Source organism: Homo sapiens, chromosome 22 (assembly GCF_000001405.40).
Source record: "Homo sapiens chromosome 22, GRCh38.p14 Primary Assembly".
Taxonomy (NCBI): domain Eukaryota; kingdom Metazoa; phylum Chordata; class Mammalia; order Primates; family Hominidae; genus Homo; species Homo sapiens.
Window position 1 is genome coordinate 35,325,713 of NC_000022.11, and position 21,037 is coordinate 35,346,749.

Sequence of the window (21,037 nt, forward strand, 5' to 3'; positions counted from 1 at the left end):
GATTTTAACCAATTTTCTGAAGTCTAGCATCTGTGTGGATTAAGACGCTAATTACTTCCAATGCAAGAAGGTGCTTGCTAAACAAAACTAATCTTTGTTTAATTCGAGAGTCCCCTTTTGTCTCTTGGGACATGTTAAGACATCAGGTGTGCAGTGATGTTACTCCCAGACTCCTCTGTAATTAAGTCCCATCTGATTTGGATACATGGGGTTTGTGATCAGTAGTTTTTCCACTCACTCATACCAAGAGTGTTCATTAAGTAAGCCAAATAGATCAAACATTTTGCAGGTTTTGGAAGGTGTCAGTGAACCATAGTGGATATACTACTAGTCTCTACACTCCATTTCTTCATCTATAAAAGCAGGGATATTGATGTCTACCATGGTAAAAAATTAAGTTAGCAATATATGTTCAATGCTTGGCACTTATTAGGTAGTCTATAAATGGTAGCTGCTGTCACAATCATGAATGTATATAGTGACACTCTGAAATCAACTATAACTCAGCCACATGATTTAGAATGTACCAGCATTTCTCAAAACATAAAAAGGTTCTTCAGTCAAATAAATCTTAGAAGCTTTCAGACTGATCTTTTCCCAGGCATTCCCAGTGTGCATGAGGGCATTAAACACCCTACAAGGTCCCACAGCATAAGATCCTTATACCAATGGCCTTTCACAAGCTAACCTCTTTGAGGAGACTGCAGCTTTATTGAAAATGTTTCCCCAAGCCCAACTCCTTGGAACCCTTTGACCATTGAAAACCTGCCCACATCCCTTGGAACAAGTGCTAAATCTGAGTTTCATATTCAAGGTGGGGTACAGGGCAAGGACTATCCTTAGATGAGCCTGGGACACCAAAATAGACCAGAAACAGGACAAAATCCCAGTCCACTAGGAGGAGAAAGAGGGCAGAAGCCCAGTCCACTAGGAGGAGAGAGAGGGTGGAATCCCAGTCCTCTAGGAGGAGAGAGAGAGGACGGAATCCCAGTCCTCTAGGAGGAGAGAGGGCGGGATCCCAGTCCTCTAGGAGGAGAGAGACGGCGGGATCCCAGTCCTCTAGGAGGAGAGAGGGTGGGATCCCAGTCCTCTAGGAGGAGAGAGAGGGGGGGATCCCAGTCTTCTAGGAGAGAGGGCGGAATCCCAGTCCTCTAGGAGGAGAGAGAGAGGGCAGAATCCCAGTCCTCTAGTGGGAGAGAGAGAGAGGGCCTGCAGCGTCCCTCCCCGCCTTGTGGGGAGCCACCCTCCAGGGCCTTGTTAGCTGCTGTGTTAGACCCAGGAGATGCTGGAGTCTTCCAGCCACACGTGGTGGCTCATTCCGGTGTGGAGATGGTAACGGTTGGTAGCGCCTCTGTGAGGGGTCTGTAGAAGGGGTGGGGCAGGCCTCTAGTGCAGAGCTGTCACTTTGGGAGCCAGGAGGGAGGCTGCCTAGAGAGGCTGCTGGGAGGTCGGCTCCCTGGTGCTGCACCCAGGGTTGGTGGTACTGGGTTCTGTCGCTGTGAGTAACATGGGCCCCAGAACCCTGGCTTCTCTCACCACGATCAACTGTGTGTTTCAGATTGGGAAGCTGCGCAGTGAGCTGGAGATGGTGAGTGGGAACGTGAGGGTGATGTCGGAGATGCTGACGGAGCTGGTGCCCACCCAGGCCGAGCCCGCAGACCTGGAGCTGCTGCAGGTGAGCAGGTGGCACCACCCCCTGGGGCTCAGATGACTCCTGCCCAGCTGCCCACATGCATTCTTTCCCAATCCTCATGACAGTCTTCATGGCTTACTCCATACTCCTTGGTCACAGTTGGGGACATGTTACCACCAGGGACTTTGGACGCCATCAGATTGGAATCAGATCGCAGCTCTACCACTTTCTGGTTTGAACAAAGTAGCCCCCCTGGCCTCAGTTTCCTCATCTGTAAGATTGCTCTAACAATAGCCTTCATGGCACAAGTTTGATGTGAGTTAAATAAGGTATTGCATGAAAAACACGCAGGCTTGTGCCTGGTACAGAGTAAAGCACCCAGTAAGGGGTCCTGAGAAAAAGCTGGAAGGTGAGATTTACACCATTCAGAATCCGAGACTCAGCAGGCAGGTGTGAGAGGGTGGTGCCAGCCTTGAGATGCGCCAGCCACTGATCTTGGGGAGCCAAGGCAGGTGGAGCTAGTGGTTCCTGCTCCCGGGTGTCACATGGTATTCCCACGGCCCCAGCCCAGATTGGGGGTCACTGGAGCAGAAGGGACACTGAATTTGGCAAAAAGCACCCTCCCCATGGAGGCCAGTCATAGAGGCACCAAGAGAGCTAGGAATCCCCAAGGCCCAGGAGTCACCAGAATCCATGAGGAGACAGAGCGCTTCGTGTAACTGTTCGAGTTCCTACTGCTCGTCCACCAGGCCTCAGGCTCCTTGAGGGCAGCGCTGTGTCTTCCTCGCCACCGTGTCTGTGTGCCTGACCGAGCTGACTCTGCAGGGGTCCTCACTTGGTGGTGCAGGGTGGGGAGAAAAGGAGTAGCCTCAGAGTCCAGTGAATACACAAACTTGAAACCCAGTAAGGGCTCCGAAAGAGAGAAGACTGCGCAGGCAGCCTCGCACGCCCCAAGCCAAGGCCATGAGATGTGAGCAGTCTGGGGACTCAGAAGGCTGAGCAAGGTGGATGCAGGGACAGCTCCCATGCACTGGGCACTTCCCGTGTCCCGGGCTATATGTGGACACTTGGTTCACATCGCTCACGTAATCCTGACCACCCCCATTTTCCAGGTCAGGAAATAGGCATAGGGAGATCAGATAACACGTCCAGGGTTATATGGCTGGTAAGTAGCAGAGCTGCGATTTGAACCCGGGGGCCTGGCTCCAAGTGCTGCTCTTCTGCTCTTGAGAGGGGCCAGCAGGGAAGCAGAAGCAAAGCCACCGTGTGCTTGGTCATAAGAGCAGGAGGGGAGCCCACAGGATGTTGAAAGGCACCCGCCCTGTCCCCGTGCTAAGGGCGATGAGGAAATCCCGGAGGCCTGACCTTGGAGGGGGCAGGGGACAGGGTCCACATGACAGCCAAAATAAACACTGGGCAGTGCCGAGCCTCAGCGTTGCCTCCAGGAGAAAGGCGTGCTGGCGTGAGGCCACAGTCGGCAATGCCGGGCAGCTCCCTGGACCTCAGGACCCAGGCACCTGCCGTGACCCAGGAACCTTCACCTGGTGGCAGGTACCTGAAGAAATAATTGACCAATCTTAAAAATGAAAACCCATATGGCTATGGTTTTTTATTTTTTTATTTTTTTTGAGACGGAGTCTTGCTCTGTCACCCAGGCTGGAGTGCAGTGGCGCGATCTCGGCTCACCGCAGCCTCTGCCTCTTGGGTTCAAGCTATTCTCCTGCCTCAGCCTTCCAAGCAGCTGGGATTATAGGCATACACCACCATGCCCGGCTAATTTTTGTATTATTAGTAGACACAGGGTTTCACCTTGTTGGCCAGGCTGGTCTTGAACTCCTGACCTCAGGTGATCCACCCGCCTCGGCCTCCCCAAGTGCTGGGATTATAGGCACGAGCCACCGGGTGTAGCCATTTTTTTTATTTTTCATAAGTTTAAATATGACACCTAGTGGTTAAAAGTCGGTGACGTGATAACTAAATGCAGTGTAGGATCCTAGAACAAACAAAGGACATTAGAGGAAAAACTAGTGAAACCTGAATAAAGTCCGCAGTTTAGTTAATAGTATTTTACCAGTTTTAATGTTTAATGGTAGTTTACCAGTTTTGACAAATGCCAGACTAAGGGGAAGCCAGGGTCAAGGGTATATGGGAACTTGTGGTACTATCTTTGCATCTCTTCTGTAAATCTAAAATTATTCCAAAGCTAAAAGTTTGTTTAAAAAGACAAAAAATCAGGCAGTGAGAAAAGTGAGGCAAAAACTCGAAATCGAGGTTTGTGGCTAATGGTTGCAGTCATCTAGTTCATTCTGTATGCTTTGGTTGCAAAAATCACAGCATACCCCCAGAAGTTGTGGTTTGTTCAGCCAGCCCCCTTTGCAGACTCAGTTTTTTTTTGACTAAGCAAAGATGGTGGCACAACCTTTATTCTGGAATCTGCACGAAGCCAAGTTAAACCGGCAGCACAGTTGGACATGTTGATGGTTTCCTGTGGATTAAATTTTAGCATCTAACACTTGGAAGTGAAGTTCAAGTTCATGTTTGTAGAACCCAAAAAGCTGTTCCGTGGAACCTTGAAGTCCAGTTTGGGCACCTCACCCTCCTCCAAGGCTTGTGCAGGGGCTGGAGGCCCGTGCATTAGAGATGGCCTCACTTGGCCAGGCGCGGTGGCTCACGCCTGTAATCCCAGCACTTTGGGAGGCCGAGGCAGGCAGATCGTGAGGTCAGGAGATCGAGACCACCCTGGCTAATATGGCGAAACCCCGTCTCTACTAAAACTACAAAAAAAAAAATTAGCCAGGCGTGGTGGCAGACGCCTGTAGTCCCAGCTACTTGGGAGGCTGAGGCAGGAGAATGGCATGAACCCAGGACACAGCTTGCAGTGAGCCAAGATCGCACCACTGCACTCCAGCCTGGGCGACAGAGCTCCGTCTCACAAAAAAAAAAAGAGACGGCCTCACTCTGAGTCATGTGACTGTGGTTGCCTCACTTCCTTTCCTGGCAGGAGCTCAACCGCACGTGCCGAGCCATGCAGCAGCGGGTCCTGGAGCTCATCCCTCAGATCGCCAATGAGCAGCTGACAGAGGAGCTGCTCATCGTCAATGACAATCTCAACAATGTGTTCCTGCGCCATGAACGGTAGCCCCAGCACCTCCCCTGGCCTCTGGCCTACTGCCCCAACCCTCTCCCTTCCCTTCCTCCCTGTTCTCCTGGTCTCATGCCATCTGAGCCTTCTCTCGTCCTCCTCTCAAACACAAGGCAGGCTCCTAAGGGCCTGTGCCCTCAGCTGTCTTCTTCCAGGATGTTTATGAGGGCCCCTCCTTCCAGCCGCCCTGTATCTCCTTTCCAGGGTTAGCGCTGCTGCCTGTGCCCAAGTCCAGCCCTGGGAGATGGTCACAGGTCACAGCTGAGAGCACGGCCCTGCAACCAGACTGGCCTGGTGTGTCCTCGCCCACTCCACCACTTCCTGGTTCTGGGGCCTTAGACAAGTGACTTCACTGCTGCAAGCTACACAAAACATTTCTGGCTAACTTAGGCAGAAAAAGAATTTGTTAGGATAATAATCTTTATTAAATGGGTAGCTTTCAGAATCCAGAGAAAAGTGAAACTGATGTCTCCCAACAGAACAAGAAAGATGGATCCCAGGGCAGCTCAGATGTCTCAGGAGCAGAAATTCCTGGACCATCTCCCCAGGGTGCTGCCATCAATAAATACATCAGCTCAAACACTTGTCCACAAACACCTGTCCACCTTTTTTTTTTTTTTTTTTTTGAGGCACGATCTTGCTCTGTCACCCAGGCTGGAGTATAGTGGCATGATCACAGCTCACTGCAGCCTCAACCTCCTGGGCTCAAGCAGTCCTCCCACCTCAGCCTGCCAGGTAGCCGGGACTACAGGCATGCACCACCACACCCAGCTAATTTTCTTTTCTTTTTTTTTTTTTCTTTTTGCAGAGACAGGGGTCTCACTGTGTTGCCCAGGCTAGTCTCAAACTCTTGGCCTCAAGCAGTCCTCCCTCCTTGGCCTCCGAAAGCATTGGTATTACAGGCATGAGCCACCACACCCACCTGCCCACCTTGTATCATTCTGTTCAAGAGTCACATCCCCAAGAGAGACTTGGATTGGCTGAGCTTCATTGTGCCTACCAGCTGGGGTATGGGAGAGGGCCCTTTGATGGCAGCCCCACCGGGATGATGTGAAATGGGGGAGGAGCAGTTCCTCTAAAGAGTACTTAGGTGCTATTACAAAAGAAGGAGAAGGGCTGGGCGCAGTGGCTCACACCTGTAATCCTAGCACTTTGGGAGGCTGAGCCGGGAGGATCACTTGAGGCCAGGAGTTTGCAACCAGCCAGGCCAACATGGTGAAACCCCGTCTCTACTAAAAAATACAAAAAAATTAGCCGGAGGTGGTGGTGGGTGCCTGTAATCCCAGCTTACTTGGGAGGCTGAGGCAGGAGAATTGCTTGAACCCAGGAGGCAGAGGTTGCAATGAGCCGAGATCGCACCACTGCACTCCAGCCTAGGCGACAGAGCAAGACTCCATCTCAAAAAAAAAAAGGAAAGAGAAGGAGAAGGATTGCTGGGTCTGCAGAAATTGTGTGCCCATCACACCTCCTCTGTATCTGTAAAATGAGGCTTGTGGCATAAGTGAGAGTCCATGAAACAGTGTCTGTAAAGCGCTTAGCAGTCCAGGGTGTCTGATAACTGACATGAGTTATTCCAGCCTCCTCCAGCCCCTTGTTCATTTTTTGTGTCTTTCTCCATCAAAAGACACTCACTGATTGATTCTAAATCAGTGGAAAGTGGGGGGTACCCTGCAGGTCACGTCTGCCTAGCTTCTCCTGCTCGTTGGCCCAGTGGAATGAAAGGCCTCTTCCCTGCCATTTTGGGGTATGGGCTGTGAGGTGACTGAGGGGCCCCATCTGGTAGCAGCTGGTACCCTCAGATATCCACAGTCATTAGGCTTAATATCTGACTGTGCTTTCAAGCTCGCAGTCACTTATACCCATGTCCTAATTTGGGCTTCAGCACTTCAGGGAGGCAGGTGCCTACAGATACTAGACAAGCAGACTAAAGTTCAGAAGGAACATAATTTACCCGAGGTCATGTGATAAGTGACAAGGCCACGACTTGAACAGACCCCACACTAAAGTCTTCTCGATCTATCACACCGGCCCCTAAGTAGCTCCATAAAACAAGATTAGAGATACATGTATCTTTCTTACAGCACTGAAGAGAGCACTAACACACACACACACACACACATACACACACACAAATATGTAATTGAAACAAGTTTCATAAGACAGTCCTTACCTTTACTGCGTGCCATGCATTCCTATTTTCTTTGCTGTTCTAACCTATTCCTGTTTATTTGTTTCATGCTACTCATGACTAAGGTTGCCTTATAATTGATCATCCAAATTGGGACACTTTTGCAAGGGAAAGAGGAGCACTGCTAGTTACCCAGGGACAGCAGGCATGAACTGGATCTGTCCAGGGCACACCAGACGTGTCATCACCCTGATCATAACCCACCGTGTTGATGTTGAGACCCACAGTTTGAAAAGCTCTGCCTGGCCGTGTGTGGGGGCCTGTCTCAGTCTGTCTCCATAACTCGTGTCTTTTCTGTCTTGTAGGTTTGAACGGTTCCGAACAGGCCAGACCACCAAGGTAAAAGTCTTCTTTTCTGTGACTAGATCAGGCCCTGTTCATGGGAAGAAGGAGTGCCATTCTCACCTCCCTCCCCTAGTAAACTGGACAGGGTGGTGCTGTCTTATCCAGGCCCATAGAGAAATCCCCTTCTAACTTTTTATGTCCCTGTCCCTTTAAGGTAAATAAGGCTGTGCCACCACCTGATGCCCCAGGGTCTCCCCAACCTCCCAGGGAGTCCAGTTGAGCTGGAGCCAGAGGGGAGGAAGGAAATTCCCTGATGCCCAGTCCTAGCTCCTGGGGCCCTGGTGACAGATCCCTGGGCAAAGCCTGCAAGCCACAGTGCTTGGGGCAGAAAGGAACGAAGCTGCAGACAGCGGGGATGATCAGGGCATCTCCCTTCCCACCAGGCCCCAAGTGAGGCCGAGCCGGCAGCTGACCTGATCGACATGGGCCCTGACCCAGCAGCCACCGGCAACCTCTCATCCCAGCTGGCAGGAATGAGTAAGTGTGGTTTGGAGGGCTCCAGCTGAGGGTACATTATGGTACTGTGGGCACCCCTGCAGATTTTCGGGGTGCCCTTGTTATATACCCACAGCAGAGTGTCAGTCTGGACCCCACCTTGCTGGGGTCCCAGGCTGAATCTTGCTGCAAGGTGGGGCACTCGGGGTCACTGCCCCTGGCAGCCCCACAAGTCCTGAGCCGCCTTGGATCTCAGAAATCCTACCATCCTAGGATTGGCCCTCTACACTGAATTCTCCATGGCTTCAATCATCTGCGTGAGCTTGGGCAAGTTCCTTAAACCTCCTGAGCCTCTCTTTCCTCCTCTTTAACAGGAGTAGGGAGCTCGTGTATGAGAAGCGCTTAGACCATGCCAGGCCCAGGTTGCACTCTGGCTGAGTAGTTGGCCATTGTCACTGTTATCACTGTGATAGGTTTTAATATAATTTACTGTCTGCTTCATGCCAAGCCCTAGGAAATCATTAGCACCCCATTTTGCATCACTAATGCTATACTTTTTGAAAAAATCGACTACCCATCTGATTACTGTCCTCCTGCCCAGCCACTTCCCCAGCAGAATCAATGGATAGCGTTTTGACTGTTCTCTAACGCTCACAGCAGCCCCAAGAGGGGTGAGTAAACTAAAGCTGGGAAGAGGAAGCCGCTTGCCCAAGGCCCCACAGCCAGCAGCAGGTGGCCTGCCTCGCGCATTCCCCCACCCACACGTGCCACTTCCCCAGCACCAAGCCCTGGGTCTGGCAGCAGGTAGCTCAGCAGCAGCTCACACACAAGCTTGTGGATGGGTCTTTCACGTGGCCTTTCTGTCCCTGCAGACCTGGGCTCCAGCAGTGTGAGAGCTGGCCTGCAGTCTCTGGAGGCCTCTGGTCGACTGGAAGATGAGTTTGACATGTTTGCGCTGACACGGGGCAGCTCACTGGCTGACCAACGGAAAGAGTGAGTGGCCTGGCCCTGCCCTGGTCCCCTGCAGTTCGGGTGGCTCTCGGGGTTCTGGAACCCGGTTTTATGGTGGCACACCATGAGGAAGGGCACACGGACCCTGCTTAGTAAGCACGCCCTTAGTATCCCCTAAGTCAGTCCAGCATGGCCTGGGAGCCCTGTGGTCAGTTGACAGACTGCGCTCCCCACAGGCCATGCTGGGTGGGGGAGGGGGAGCCTAATGACCCACTGTATGCCAGAATCTTACATAGTCTGATCAGAGGGGGAAACTGAGGCACAGAGAGGGGCAGGCTCATTTGCCCCAGGTCAAGGAGCTAATATTTGGCAGCACTAGGTTAGGAGCCTAGGGCTGTCTGGTTCCAAAACACAGTGTCTCCACCCCCCGCCCCCCTCCCTGCACTGTGTACCGCATAGTAAGCCCTCCAGGAGCAGGGAAGTTTCCTGATAAATCCTCAGGGACTTTCAAGTCAAGTCTTTTTCTGTTGTTCCATAGCCACCGTTAATTTCCAGAGAAGATTAAGCAGGTTCTGTCAGCCTTGCCCCAGAGCTGGGGCTCTGCCCTTCCCTGTGCACCGTGCATTTTCAGGGGGTACTTTCAGCAGCATAGGCACGTGGCCTGAGTGTGTCCACCAGGGTCTGACCCCTTGCCGGGACCTGCGGGAGAACTGGCCCCGTACAGGCTTGTAAGAGGAACAGTCTGCTTGATGTTTTCTTCAGCCTTTTGCCCACTGTGACCCCCAGGGCTGAGCTGTGGGCAGCCAGGATTCTTATAGCTAAGGAAAGTTCTAGATTATGGGATCTTCCCACTGACCCCACTCAGCTCCTTAGAGGTCATTCTGGTGTCTTTTGGAACTTTGTCAATGGGCCTCCAGAGAGCCCAGGGATAACCTCTCCACACCCACAAATCCAGGTCCAGGCTGTAGCCTGCTAGGTCCTTAGGGCTGCCCTGGCTGTTAGCTGTATCTTTCTTTAGTCTGGGCAGAGTCTGTACTTTTAAGCCCAGGTACCCTGGGACCAGCAGCTGTTGCCATGGAGTTAGGGGTGCTGCCGAGGCTACCCTGCAAAGGCAAGCTAATGAGTGTGATGGGACTTGCAGCCAGACACGCCCATCCACAGAGGCCCCAGCAGGCAACACTGCTGGCCATACTGGAGAACCCTGGCGCCTGCCCTGGTCACCAGCCTGGCTGAGGTATGCTGTTGCGCTGTCCTTCCTCTGGGGAGCAGGCTCCGGGGGACAGGGAAAAGCACACAAGGAACTTGTCCTCTAGGGCCTGCAGTCTCATGGGAGAGTGACATGCACCAGGACCACCGCTGTGAAGGGCTAAGTGCTGTCCTGGAGGGGGCACCAGGCTCTGTGGACACAGAGGAGGGAGCATGCAACTCTGCGGAGGGTACTCAGAGCTGGACCAGGTGCTGGGTGATAGGAAGGCCATTTCAGGCACTAGGAACAGCATGTGCAAAGTCTCAGAGGCAGGGCGGGAGAGAGGTGCCCTGGCTCCCGCACAGCAGCTGGGAAAGATGCTCTTCACACAGGGAAGGGGGCAGGATGCTGAGAGGGTGGTGGGGCCCACTGGGCTACAGAGAGGCAGTTGATTTTATTCTAACATGAGCAGGAGGGAGCACAGGAAGGATCTTTTTTCTTATCAGATTTTCATCTTTGAAACTGCCTTCAGCTGAGCACAGCTGAAATGACATCATGCACCTTCTCAGGCCATTGGTTCTCCTGCAGGCCCTCCCCAGGGCTTGGTTTCCACCCTGGCAGAAAACATCCAGCAAGGTCAGGCGTGGACCTGAGCATCCATTTCGTCTTCCCTTTGTTCTCCTGCCTGGCTGGCCCCCTTAAATGCTTCTGGTGGATCTTCCAGCTCTGGTCACCTGACTGGCCTTTTCTGCCAGCTTGGTGTCCAGCCCGCTCCTCCCTGTACCTGCCTGGCTCCCCACTTCACACCAGCCTGCAACCAGCTCTGCCCTGGCTGGCAGGGAAACCAGCTCCTTATCAGCCGCTGTTTCTGCTCCAGCCTTGACCACAGCTGGCACCGTCACAGCCTTCCTGCAGCCAGTCCTATCCACTCAATGCCAAGGAGTAGCAGGGCTTCTGGGCGAGCCACAGCAGAGACGCCTCGGCTAGGCCTTCACAAAGGCAGGGGTGTCCTTCCCCCGCTTTGTCCGCATCTTCGTCAGTGCTGCTGTACACAGAGGCCTTCTCTACAAGGAGCACTTAGACAAGTGTCACCCCAGTGGCCCAGGTGCAGCCCCTGCCCACCAGCCCCACTGGGACCACCTAAGGAGTGACCCTCCACCCTCCTGCACTGGGCAGGGGGCAGCAGGCCCTAGCCCAGGGGTCACCACCCAGTGCAGGAGGTGCGGGCTTCCTCCAGGGAAGTGCTTGGCCCTCCACCACCACAGGCATGGCCTTCAGGGACAGCTGGGCTTCAGGGCCATGTGTGGGCAGGGGTGGCGAGGAGCTAAGCTTAGGAAGGGCAGATAGTTCTTTTTTTTTTTTTTTTGAGCCGGAGTCTCGCTCTGTCTCTCAGGCTGGAGTGCAGTGGCGCTTGCAGAGTGCAAGCTCCACCTCCTGGGTTCACGCCATTCTCCTGCCTCAGCCTCCCGAGTAGCTGGGGACTACAGGCGCCCACCACCACACCTGGCTAATTTTTTGTATTTTTAGTAGAGACGGGGTTTCACCATGTTAGCCAGCATGGTCTCGATCTCCTGACCTCGTGATCCGCGCGCCTTGGCCTCCCAAAGTGCTGGGATTTCAGCCACTGCACCTGGCCCAGATAGTTGTTTTGAGTGAAGGGAAATCATGGGTTTCTGCGTGTTCTGGGGCTGGGCATGGCTTCTTCAGCCTTGCCCACAATGCGCCAAGCATGTCTTAGAGACAGCAACAAGCACCTCCAGACCCTCAATTAGCAGGCCTTCTCTGGGTCAGAAGTCAGCAACCTGACGCCCCACCTCCCCCGCCACTGGCTTTAAGGTTGGCTCCAGCAGGGCCCTGCCGTAGTCACTGGCCCACTTGCCATGGATGGGAGCCGTGTAACCAGGGAATGCCCCAGCTAGTGGTCACACTCCACCAGCAAACTCTGCCCCTGGTGGGAAGGAACAGACAGCAGCACTCTTCAAAATGACTGCGTGGGAACTGGGGGTCATATTCAAGAAGCCCCTTTCAGTGCCAGCCTACTCCATTCCTCAGAAAGCAAGCTGGTATTGCAAGAGTTAAATGTGATGCAGTCCCAGTTCCTGAAGCCTACAGTTAGACCAGCCCCGCTTCACTAGCGTGTCAGGTGGCCTTGTTCCTAACAGGAATCGCAGGCCTTTCCCTTTGTGACCAGAATTCTGTGGCTTACTTCTTTGCCTCAAAGCTGCACTGAGCCAGTGCTGAAGTCCTGTCTGCCGGCAGTTCAGGGCGAGAATAACAGGGCTCTTTCCCTGCAACAGGGCTGGGTCCCCAACACCTGCCCTGGGCACCCCCACTGCGGCAGCTGGGAAAGACACCATAGCCGCCTCTCCTCCTTAGCCAGCTTCTCCTCTCACTCAGGTTATTCTCTTGCTCCCCAGGAGACTTAACCTCACACACAACATACCCTTCCTTGCCTCTCCTCATCTGCCCAGCAACTGTGGGGTCAGCCTCTGCCGCTCCCAGCCCATCAGCCTTGCGTGCCCTCCCAGTTCCTGCCTCCCCACCCTGCCTAGCTGGCTGGCACCCCCCAGAGGACATTTAGAAGAGCTGTAACCAAGCCACCTCCCATGCTGCTGAGACAAGGTGGGGGCAGAGTCATCTTTGTGCTGGTGAGCCAGTGCAAGACAAGATGGCACCTCACCCAGCAGTTTATAGATGTGTTTTCAGCAGCAGAATGGAATCCCCCATTCAAATACGACCTCATACACAACCACAGTCTATAAAATAGGAAACAAGATCTGCTCAAGAAAGGGTCTGCTGGGAATTCTCCATGAGCCTACGGGCACTGGAGCTATTTATCAGTCTCCTGAGTTTGGCCAATCCTGGTCATAGCCATTGGTGGTCTTGGTCTCAGTCTTTGGCCAGCAACACCCTCCCTAACCTCTCCAGCCTTTGCTGCTGTCTGTCATGTAGGTCACTTGTCAGATCCTAATTTCCAGAGGCAGGAAATGAGACCCTTTTTACCATTTCCAGGCAGGCCTGGAGGATGGGAGCCGTCAATCTGTGCCCCCCAGCCCGCTCCGTTCTTGCATCAGCCATCGGTAAGGGCAGCATCCAATGGCTTGGTGGTCTCTCTTTCAGGGTAAAATACGAAGCCCCCCAAGCAACAGACGGCCTGGCTGGAGCCCTGGACGCCCGGCAGCAGAGCACTGGCGCGGTAAGCAGAGGGGCCATCCTGCCACCCTGGGGCCCTCCTGAAGGAGGTGAGGGAATGCTCACCCACTGGGTGCCGTTGTGGGCCAAGCACTGGCCCAGCACGTCCACAGGCCCTTCCTCGTTTGGCCGTCAGGTCGGTTCTTTTTGGCTAGTGTGGTTATTCCCAGTTTATAGCTATGGAAACTGCTAGAGAGGCCAGGCCATTTGCCCAAGCCCACAAGCAAGGATTCAGACCTGAGCCTGACTTGAAACTGGAGACCAGGCCGGGCGTGGTGGCTCACACCTGTAATCCCAGCACTTCGGGAGGCTGAGGCGGGTGGATCACCTGAGGTCAGGAGTTCAAGACCAGCCTGGCCAACATGGTGAAACCCCGTATCTACTAAAAATACAAAAATTAGCTGGGCGTGGTGGCACATGCCTGTAATCCCAGCTACTCGGGAGGCTAAAGCAGGAGAATCGCTTGAACCCAGATGGTGGAAGTTGCAGGGAGCAGAGATTGTGCTACTGCACTCCAGCCTAGGTGACAGAGCAAGACTCCATCTCAAAAAAAAAAGAAAGAAACTGGAGACCAGTGGCCCGGGCTTCACATTCCAGCTCTACCAGTTACCAGCTATGTGTCCTTAAGCAAATGACTGGCCTTTCTGACCCTCAGTCTCTTTATCTGTACATTGGGGCTTATCCTAGCACCTATACTTGTTTATAATAGAAGTGTGAGAGGATATATTTAGGGAGCTTTACATGGAGTTAGAGCCCGTTCAATAGTATTCCTCTCTGCCTCTCTAGAGACTTTTAATCTGCAGGAGTGTGGGCAGAGAGGAATAAAAGAGCGGACCCTGGCCAGGCGCAGTGGCTCACGCCTGTAATCCCAGCACTTTGGGAGGCCGAGGCGGGCGGATCACGAGGTCAGGAGATCGAGACCATCCCGGCTAAAACGGTGAAACCCCGTCTCTACTAAAAATACAAAAAATTAGCCGGGCGTGGTGGCGGGCGCCTGTAGTCCCAGCTACTTGGGAGGCTGAGGCAGGAGAATGGCGTGAACCCAGGAGGCGGAGCTTGCAGTGAGCCGAGATCCCGCCACTGCACTCCAACCTGGGCGACAGAGCGAGACTCCGTCTCAAAAAAAAAAAAAAGAGCGGACCCTAAAGCAGCGGGGAGAAATGCGAGGGTGCTCTTTGAATTCCGTTTAGTTCCTTGACTGTGTGTTGAGTGACAGCCACTTGTCCAGCACCGAGCACATTTTGTGGGTGACCCCCACACGCTTTGGCAAGACCTCCAAGCACCATTCTCTCATGCATGTCAACGTGTATCTGGATGCTTTTCAGGCAGTGTGAGAATTTCTGCTCCAGCAAGTGAGCAGACAGAGCAGGTCCCATGGGAGACAGTTAGAAACAGCCGGACCTGGGAGTCCAGGGAGTCCGGGGGAGTGAGGGTGGTGGACCTGGGGCCGAGGAGGCTAGAGGAGGCTCAAGGCAGCATGGGGACTTCTGAGGCTAGCATGGGGTTGGGGGTAGGAAGTGAAGCTCTATGGGTATATAGCAGGGACCAGAGGACCTCAGCGCGGCTAGGAGCGCTGCAGATTGCATCCTAAGTGAGGTGGAGGCCGCGGGGAAGTCTTGAGCACAGGAGGGACTTGACTTCCAATCTGAAAGATCAGGATGGAGCTAGGAAAGCAGGGAGGGCCGGGCACAGTGGCTCACACCTGGAATCCCAGCACTTTAGGAGGCCGAGGTGGGCAGATCACTTGAGGTCAGGAGTTCAAGACCAACCTGGGCAACATGGGGAAACCCCATCTCTACAAAATATTTAAAAATTATCCGGGCATGGTGGCGCACACCTTTAGTCCCAGCTACTCAGGAGGCTGAGGTGGGAGGATCGCTTGAGCACAGGAGGTGGAGGTTGTGGTGAGCTGAGATTGCACTACGACACTCCAGCCTGGGCAATGGAGTAAGACCCTGTCTCAAGAAAAGAAGGAAAGCAGGGAGGGACGAGTTGTGGAAACCGTCCAGGCCAGTCCACTGTGGGCAAAGTCTTCGTGACCCCCAAGGGCACTCTCTCCGCTCCTGGGTCTCCCAGCATCTCAGGAGCCATTCCCAAGTCAGAACAGGGCAAGGTGGAGGACGCTGGGGTGGGCCATCTGGGCCTCTCGTGGACAGAGGTTGACTCTACCACCCAGTGGGCAACAAGAGAATCCAGTACCTCCCATGTGTGGTGTGTGACCTGCCACCAAGCACAGCACATTGCACACCCGTGTCACATCCACCGCACACACCAGTCAGAGACTCCAGTCCTTTTTCGGGTGTAAGCCATCATTTGCTGAGCCTGTGCTCCGGGCCAGGCCTGCACTAAGCACTTTGCATCCCCTCTCTTAGTGAGTCATCACAGAAACCCTTAGGGTATGTTATTATCCCGTTTTACAGATGAGAAAACTGAGTTCCAGGAAGAGCTTAAGTGAAACCACAGGTGTACTGTCCTCGGTATGGTGCCTGGCACACACTACGGTATTACGGCACTTACGCTTCGCAGTACCGCCATGTCCTCATCCCATTTACAGATGAGAAAACTGAGGCTGAGGACAGGGAGATACCCTGCCTAGGGTCTCGTAGGTATTGTTCTGCCTGGCTTCTAAGCCATGCTGGTAACCTTAGAGCTGTGAAAAGCCCTAAGGTGCAAAGGAGAGTGAGTGGAGGTGTGTGTCTCCCTCCTCAGCCTCAGGCTTCCAGTGTGTCGGGATTCATCGGAACCAACACACCGCGAGCCTGCTGTAGGAGCTCCCCTCTCAGGCCACCTGGCCTCTCGTGGTCAGAGGTTGACTCCACCACCCAGTGGGCAGCAATCCCAGCCAATCTGCTCCTGCTGCAGCCCAGAGACAGGGTTCACTTCCCTAGGGGCACACAGCAATTCAGGCGTGACTAAAACTAGAGCCCAGGTGTCCTGGCTCCCACACTACCTTGCAGCCCGCCCACAGGGAGGAAACGCACCACACAACTCCACTGGCAGCAAAGAGAAGCTGATAAACCGGTTATCACTGATTTATCTCCGATAACCTGGGAGATTTAAGCCACTTCTGCCAAATCAGGGTATGATTTCTTAAAACTCTGTGAGCAAATGCCTGCTCCTGGGGTGCTGGAGTTTGGCTGGTGGTAAGGCCTTCACCCACTAAACCGTGAGAACATGATTCCCAAGAGCAGAGTACAAAACAGCATCAAAACCAGGCGCGGTGGCAGGTACCTGTAGTGCCAGCTACTTGGGAGGCTGAAGCGGGAGGATCACTTAAACCCAGGAGTTTGAGGTTATCGTGAGCTATGACTGTACCACTGCACTCCAGCCTGGGCAACATAGTAAGACTGTATCTCAAAAAAAAAGAAACAGAATCAAGTGCCAATTGTGCGCAGCCCAGGTTTGCGCCCTGGGATTCAGAGCAGGACTCACAAGTCGTGTGACGAGGTGGTATTGCATGCTGTGTGCCAGGTTTTAGTTCCTTCACTCCCTGACATGCCTGCTGTGTGCCCTGTGCCATGTGCCAGGCCCCATGCTGGTCTGAGTAGGGTGAACCAGCCAGGCACAGGGTGACGGGCTGGGAGCAGGACTCTCGTCTCCCTCCACTCTGGGGCCCTAGGAAACTGCATGTGTGCCATGGATGAATGTGAGAAGGTTGGATAAACTGATGTTTCTAAAACCTGGGTGCCTGTCAGACCCTACTGGGAGCCCCCAGACCATCTGACAGCCGCCTGCCCTGCTATCCTGGGGTTGCTGAGGCCCAGCCTCTGGGATCCTTGTGGAGAGAGTTGAGAAGCTTTGTTTAGTTTGCTGTCAGCTCTGCCTCAGCCTACCCAGGGCGCTGGCATCCCAGAGCTGTTGTGGCTCACCCCCCGGTGGGTACCACAATACCTGCCTCATCCCTCTACACCAGCCGCCACATCCACCACACACACCTCCACACACCACACCTCCACCCATAGACCTACACACACACCACACACACATCTACACCCACCACACACACCTCCACACACACCTACACTCATACACCTACACAGACACCCCTACACACACACCACACCTACACACTCATGCACCTACACACACCCCTACACACACCACACACACATCTACACCCACCACACACACCTCCACACGTCATACCTCCACTCATACACCTACACACACCCCTACACACACCACACCTACACACTCATACACCTACACACCCCCACACCACACACACATCTACACCCACCACACACACCTCCACACACCACACCTCCACTCATACACCTACACACAGCCCTACACACACCACACCTACACACCCATACACCACACACACCCACACACACCACACACACACATCTACACCCACCACACACACCTCCACACACCACACCTACACACACCACACCTCCACTCATACGCCTACACACACACCCCTACACACACCACACACACATCTACACCCACCACACACACCTCCACACACCTCCACTCATACACCTACACACACAGCCCTACACACCACACCTACACACCCATACACCTACACACCCCCACACACACACCACACACATCTACACCCACCACACACCTCCACACACACCTCCACTCATAAACCTACACACACAGCCCTACACACACCACACACACATATCTACACCCACCACACACACCTACACACACACATTCATACACCTACACACACCCCTACACACATCACACCTACACACTCATACACCTACACACACCACACACACATCTACACCCACCACACACACCTACACACACCACACCTACACTCATACACCTACACACACCCCTACACACACCACACACACATCTACACCCACACCTACACACACCACACCTATACTCATACACCTACACACACCCTTACACACACCACACCTACACACTCATACACCTACACACACACCACACACACATCTACACCCACCACACCTACACACACACCCCTACACCTACACATACACACCTACACACACCACACACCTACACCTACCCACACCTACACCTACACATACACACCTACATTCATACACCTACATACACACCCCTGCATATACCACCCCTACACACTCATACACCTACACACCTGCACACACACCCCTACACACACCACACACATCTACACACACCACCTACACACACCACATACATCTATACCTACACAACCTACACCTACACATACAAACCTACACTCATACACCTACACACACACCTACACTCATACACCTACATACACACCCTTACACACCTACACACACCCCTACACACACACGCCTCCCAAAGTGGCAGCAGGCCTCCTGACCCGAAAGGCGCACCCCTGTTAGAAGCCGCGCCCTCCAGTGGCCCTGGCGCTGCCGTCCCTCCGCCATCAGCGTGACTCTCTCTCACCCAGATGGGAGGCGGCTGCGGGAAAAGCCTCAGTGACTGGATGGTGAGACAAGGCATGGTGAGCAGGGGCCAGGCCCGGCCACCCGGAAAGCTGGGGGTGCTCGCAGGGCTCCTGCCAGGCATGGGCGTGGGGCACCGTGCTGCTCTCCAAGGGAGTGGGACCCAGGAGAAGGCCCAGAGGAGCAAGGAGGGGCAGCTGAGGGTCTTGCGGGACCCCAGGGCTCAGGCTGTTTCCGGGTTGGCCCGGCCAGCCCAGCTTCCGCAGCTCCTCTGTGCCCGGTTCCTGCTCTTGAGTCTCGGGCAAGGACAAGGTAGCCCGTCTGGCAGCTAAGAGGCGATGGGGATAGCGGAGCGGGAGACGGAGCCGGTGTGCACAGCTGGGCACTTGCTGTTGCCACTGCTGCTGGGAAGTCGGCTCCTGCCTTCTCTCTGGGCTCTGCTCCTGCCTGGGGGGTCCTCAGGTGCTGGGTGACAGAGCTTGGAAACCAAACTGGCCTGGTTGGGGAAAGACTCTGTCTGTCTTTTCCAAAGTAGCTCACTAGTAACTAGTGCTATTAGTGCCATTACTGATTAATAGTAAATAGGAACTGGCCTATTGGTTTCTTGAGCATCTCCTCCATGCCAGGCCCTGTGCTAAGCTTTTGACATCCCATTTCATCCTCACAGCCACCTGGACGGTAAGTACTGCTGCTAGCCTCACCCTAAGGACGAGGGAAATCAGGCGCAGAGAAGTTAAGTAACCCACTCAGAGTCACACTGTGTTAAGGGGTGAGCTAGGTCCAGCTCTTTCTCACTCTGAAGTCTGTGCCCATGACCTCCAACTGGAGTCTGCCCCTGCAGAAGCCGTTAGAGAGGAAAGCCTCCAACTCCTGCCCCTGTGTGGGAGCCATCGTGGCACAGCCCATGTCTTTGTGGCCGAAAGTGAAATGTCCCCATCTGTAGCACCGCCCCTCTGGGTCTACCCACCTGGCCTTGTCTGGTTAACTTCGCGCCTCTGCTCTCAGGCCCTGCTATGCCCCCTTCTATCATGAAATCTGCGTCTGCAGAGACACCAGGGGATGGAACCTGGGGACCCCTGGCCCACTAACCATGTCCCCATCCCAGCCTTCACGGCTGGAGAAAATGCCTGGGGTCTGACCCTGGGCTTGGCGTGTCTTTTGTCAGATGCTCCTGAGCACCTGCAGCATAGCCCCTGCCCCAGGCCATTGCCCAAAGCCCCTCCTCCAGCCTAGAATCCTACCCGAAGGGTGTGTCGGAACTGGGGTTCTTCTCTTCAAGGGGAAGGAGCTCCCTCTGACCCCTGGCCCTGCTCCAGCTGCTGGGAGCCTGGTCCCCTGCTTAGTCTCCTGGCTCTGCACCTCCATCACCCACAGCCTGGCACAGCGGGCCCAGTGGTGGGTCCGGGCAGCTAGGCAGCTGAGGCTGGGGTGGGAGGCTGCCCAGGGCCACCCAGCTGCAGGGTGCTGAGCTGGCACGTCTTCCACCTTGTCACCTAGGGCACTGCCTTACCCTCTGCCCTTCCTTCCAGATCCCAGTCACCCAGGCCTGCCTCATGGAGGACATCGAGCAGTGGCTGTCCACTGACGTGGTATGTTGGGGCCCACTCCTCACCCACACAGCAGGAGGACCCGTTGTTCTCACCAAGAAATGACCCATGGGGCCAGGGTAGACTTATATAGCATATAGCACCCTGAGAGCAGAGGGGCACACTTAAAGTCCCCATCTCCTGCCACCTGCCCACCTTGTGTTTGGCACGCCCCCCAGAGAAGTCCTGGGCACAGTAGCCTCTCGGCTGCTTCCCAGAGCCTGCTCCCAAGGTGAGGTCCCAGTGGGTGTCAGCCCACCTTAGGGACATCAGGCCAGGCTAGAGAGGCTAACCGAGGAAGCATAACAGCGCCAGGCTCTTACCTGCAGTAGCTCAGAAGACTCCAGCCACTTGCAGAGGGAACCCATCACCACCCTGTTTACAGATCAGAAGACCGATAAGCAGCTGTCCTCTAAGGGGAAGCACCCAGGAGGAGGAGGGCGGGTGCCAGTCATGGGGACCCCAAGCCCTGCCACCCTCCCAGGGAGCAGAAGGGGCAGGGCCAGACTCAGCTTCTCCGTCCAGGGCTCCTACCGCAGCATCTGCCACCCCGTCTCTGGGCACCAAGGCCCACATGGGCACTTCAGGCCCAGAAGCCGCCTTCTGCAGGTGAAGAGACCATTTCTGCCCAGGACTAAGCCACAGACCAAGGACTCAGGCTTTCTGTCTGGTGGCAGAAGCCTCACCCCCTCCCTAGTTTGCAGTGTTAGCATGAATGGCCCTCAGCCTCTGGATGTCAGCCTTTCCCCCCCAGGGGTGAGGACCACCCACCCCTTGTGACCCTCCAAGGAAAGGAACCAGCACTCATCAAGGTCCCACTGGGCACCAGGTGCTGGGCTTGGCGTGCTGTGTGTTATCCCATTTCAGCTTCCCAGCAACCCTCCAAGTTAGCTTCAGCCCCCACCCCGCCCCCATTTTACAGAAGGAAAACACAAGGCTCAGGAAGTCAGGTGCCACCCAAGGAAGGT

General features: G+C 54.4%; 1 protein-coding gene and 2 non-coding genes across 14 annotated transcripts in view, besides 3 other annotated features; 2 read left to right on the forward strand and 1 right to left on the reverse strand.

Annotated features, from left to right (window-relative positions):
* TOM1 (target of myb1 membrane trafficking protein) overlaps window positions 1-21,037 on the forward strand; it is a 48,699-nt gene that overhangs the window by 26,438 nt on the left and 1,224 nt on the right. For all 12 annotated transcript variants that reach the window (NR_024194.2, NR_024195.2, NR_156428.2 and 9 more), the window contains 7 exons: window positions 1,559-1,675; window positions 4,635-4,768; window positions 7,269-7,302; window positions 7,692-7,785; window positions 8,616-8,736; window positions 13,001-13,076; window positions 20,013-20,072. Coding sequence is in view for 9 of the 12 variants with exons in the window: in NM_001135729.2 (NP_001129201.1) it covers window positions 1,559-1,675; window positions 4,635-4,768; window positions 7,269-7,302; window positions 7,692-7,785; window positions 8,616-8,736; window positions 13,001-13,076; window positions 20,013-20,072 (636 nt within the window). In the remaining 3 variants the exon portion in view is untranslated. The remainder of the gene's footprint in view (window positions 1-1,558; window positions 1,676-4,634; window positions 4,769-7,268; window positions 7,303-7,691; window positions 7,786-8,615; window positions 8,737-13,000; window positions 13,077-20,012; window positions 20,073-21,037) is intronic.
* Window positions 2,864-3,158: an enhancer, noted in NCBI's record as "tiled region #10159; HepG2 Activating DNase matched - State 5:Enh". NCBI's record gives its function as "activates a minimal TATA promoter and a strong SV40 promoter by Sharpr-MPRA in HepG2 cells {active_cell/tissue: HepG2}" and the evidence as "EXISTENCE:reporter gene assay evidence [ECO:0000049][PMID:27701403]".
* Window positions 4,648-5,148: an enhancer, noted in NCBI's record as "H3K4me1 hESC enhancer chr22:35726353-35726853 (GRCh37/hg19 assembly coordinates)". NCBI's record gives its function as "activates a minimal SCP1, AML or CMV promoter by ChIP-STARR-seq in primed H9 embryonic stem cells {active_cell/tissue: H9 hESC(primed)}" and the evidence as "EXISTENCE:reporter gene assay evidence [ECO:0000049][PMID:30033119]".
* On the forward strand, window positions 9,928-10,046 carry MIR3909 (microRNA 3909). Its single transcript, NR_037471.1, has one exon. It is a non-coding gene; the product is annotated as a microRNA 3909 (primary transcript).
* MIR6069 (microRNA 6069) lies at window positions 11,009-11,087 on the reverse strand. The gene has a single exon (NR_106717.1). It is a non-coding gene; the product is annotated as a microRNA 6069 (primary transcript).
* Window positions 11,103-12,012: an enhancer, noted in NCBI's record as "H3K4me1 hESC enhancer chr22:35732808-35733717 (GRCh37/hg19 assembly coordinates)". NCBI's record gives its function as "activates a minimal SCP1, AML or CMV promoter by ChIP-STARR-seq in naive H9 embryonic stem cells {active_cell/tissue: H9 hESC(naive)}" and the evidence as "EXISTENCE:reporter gene assay evidence [ECO:0000049][PMID:30033119]".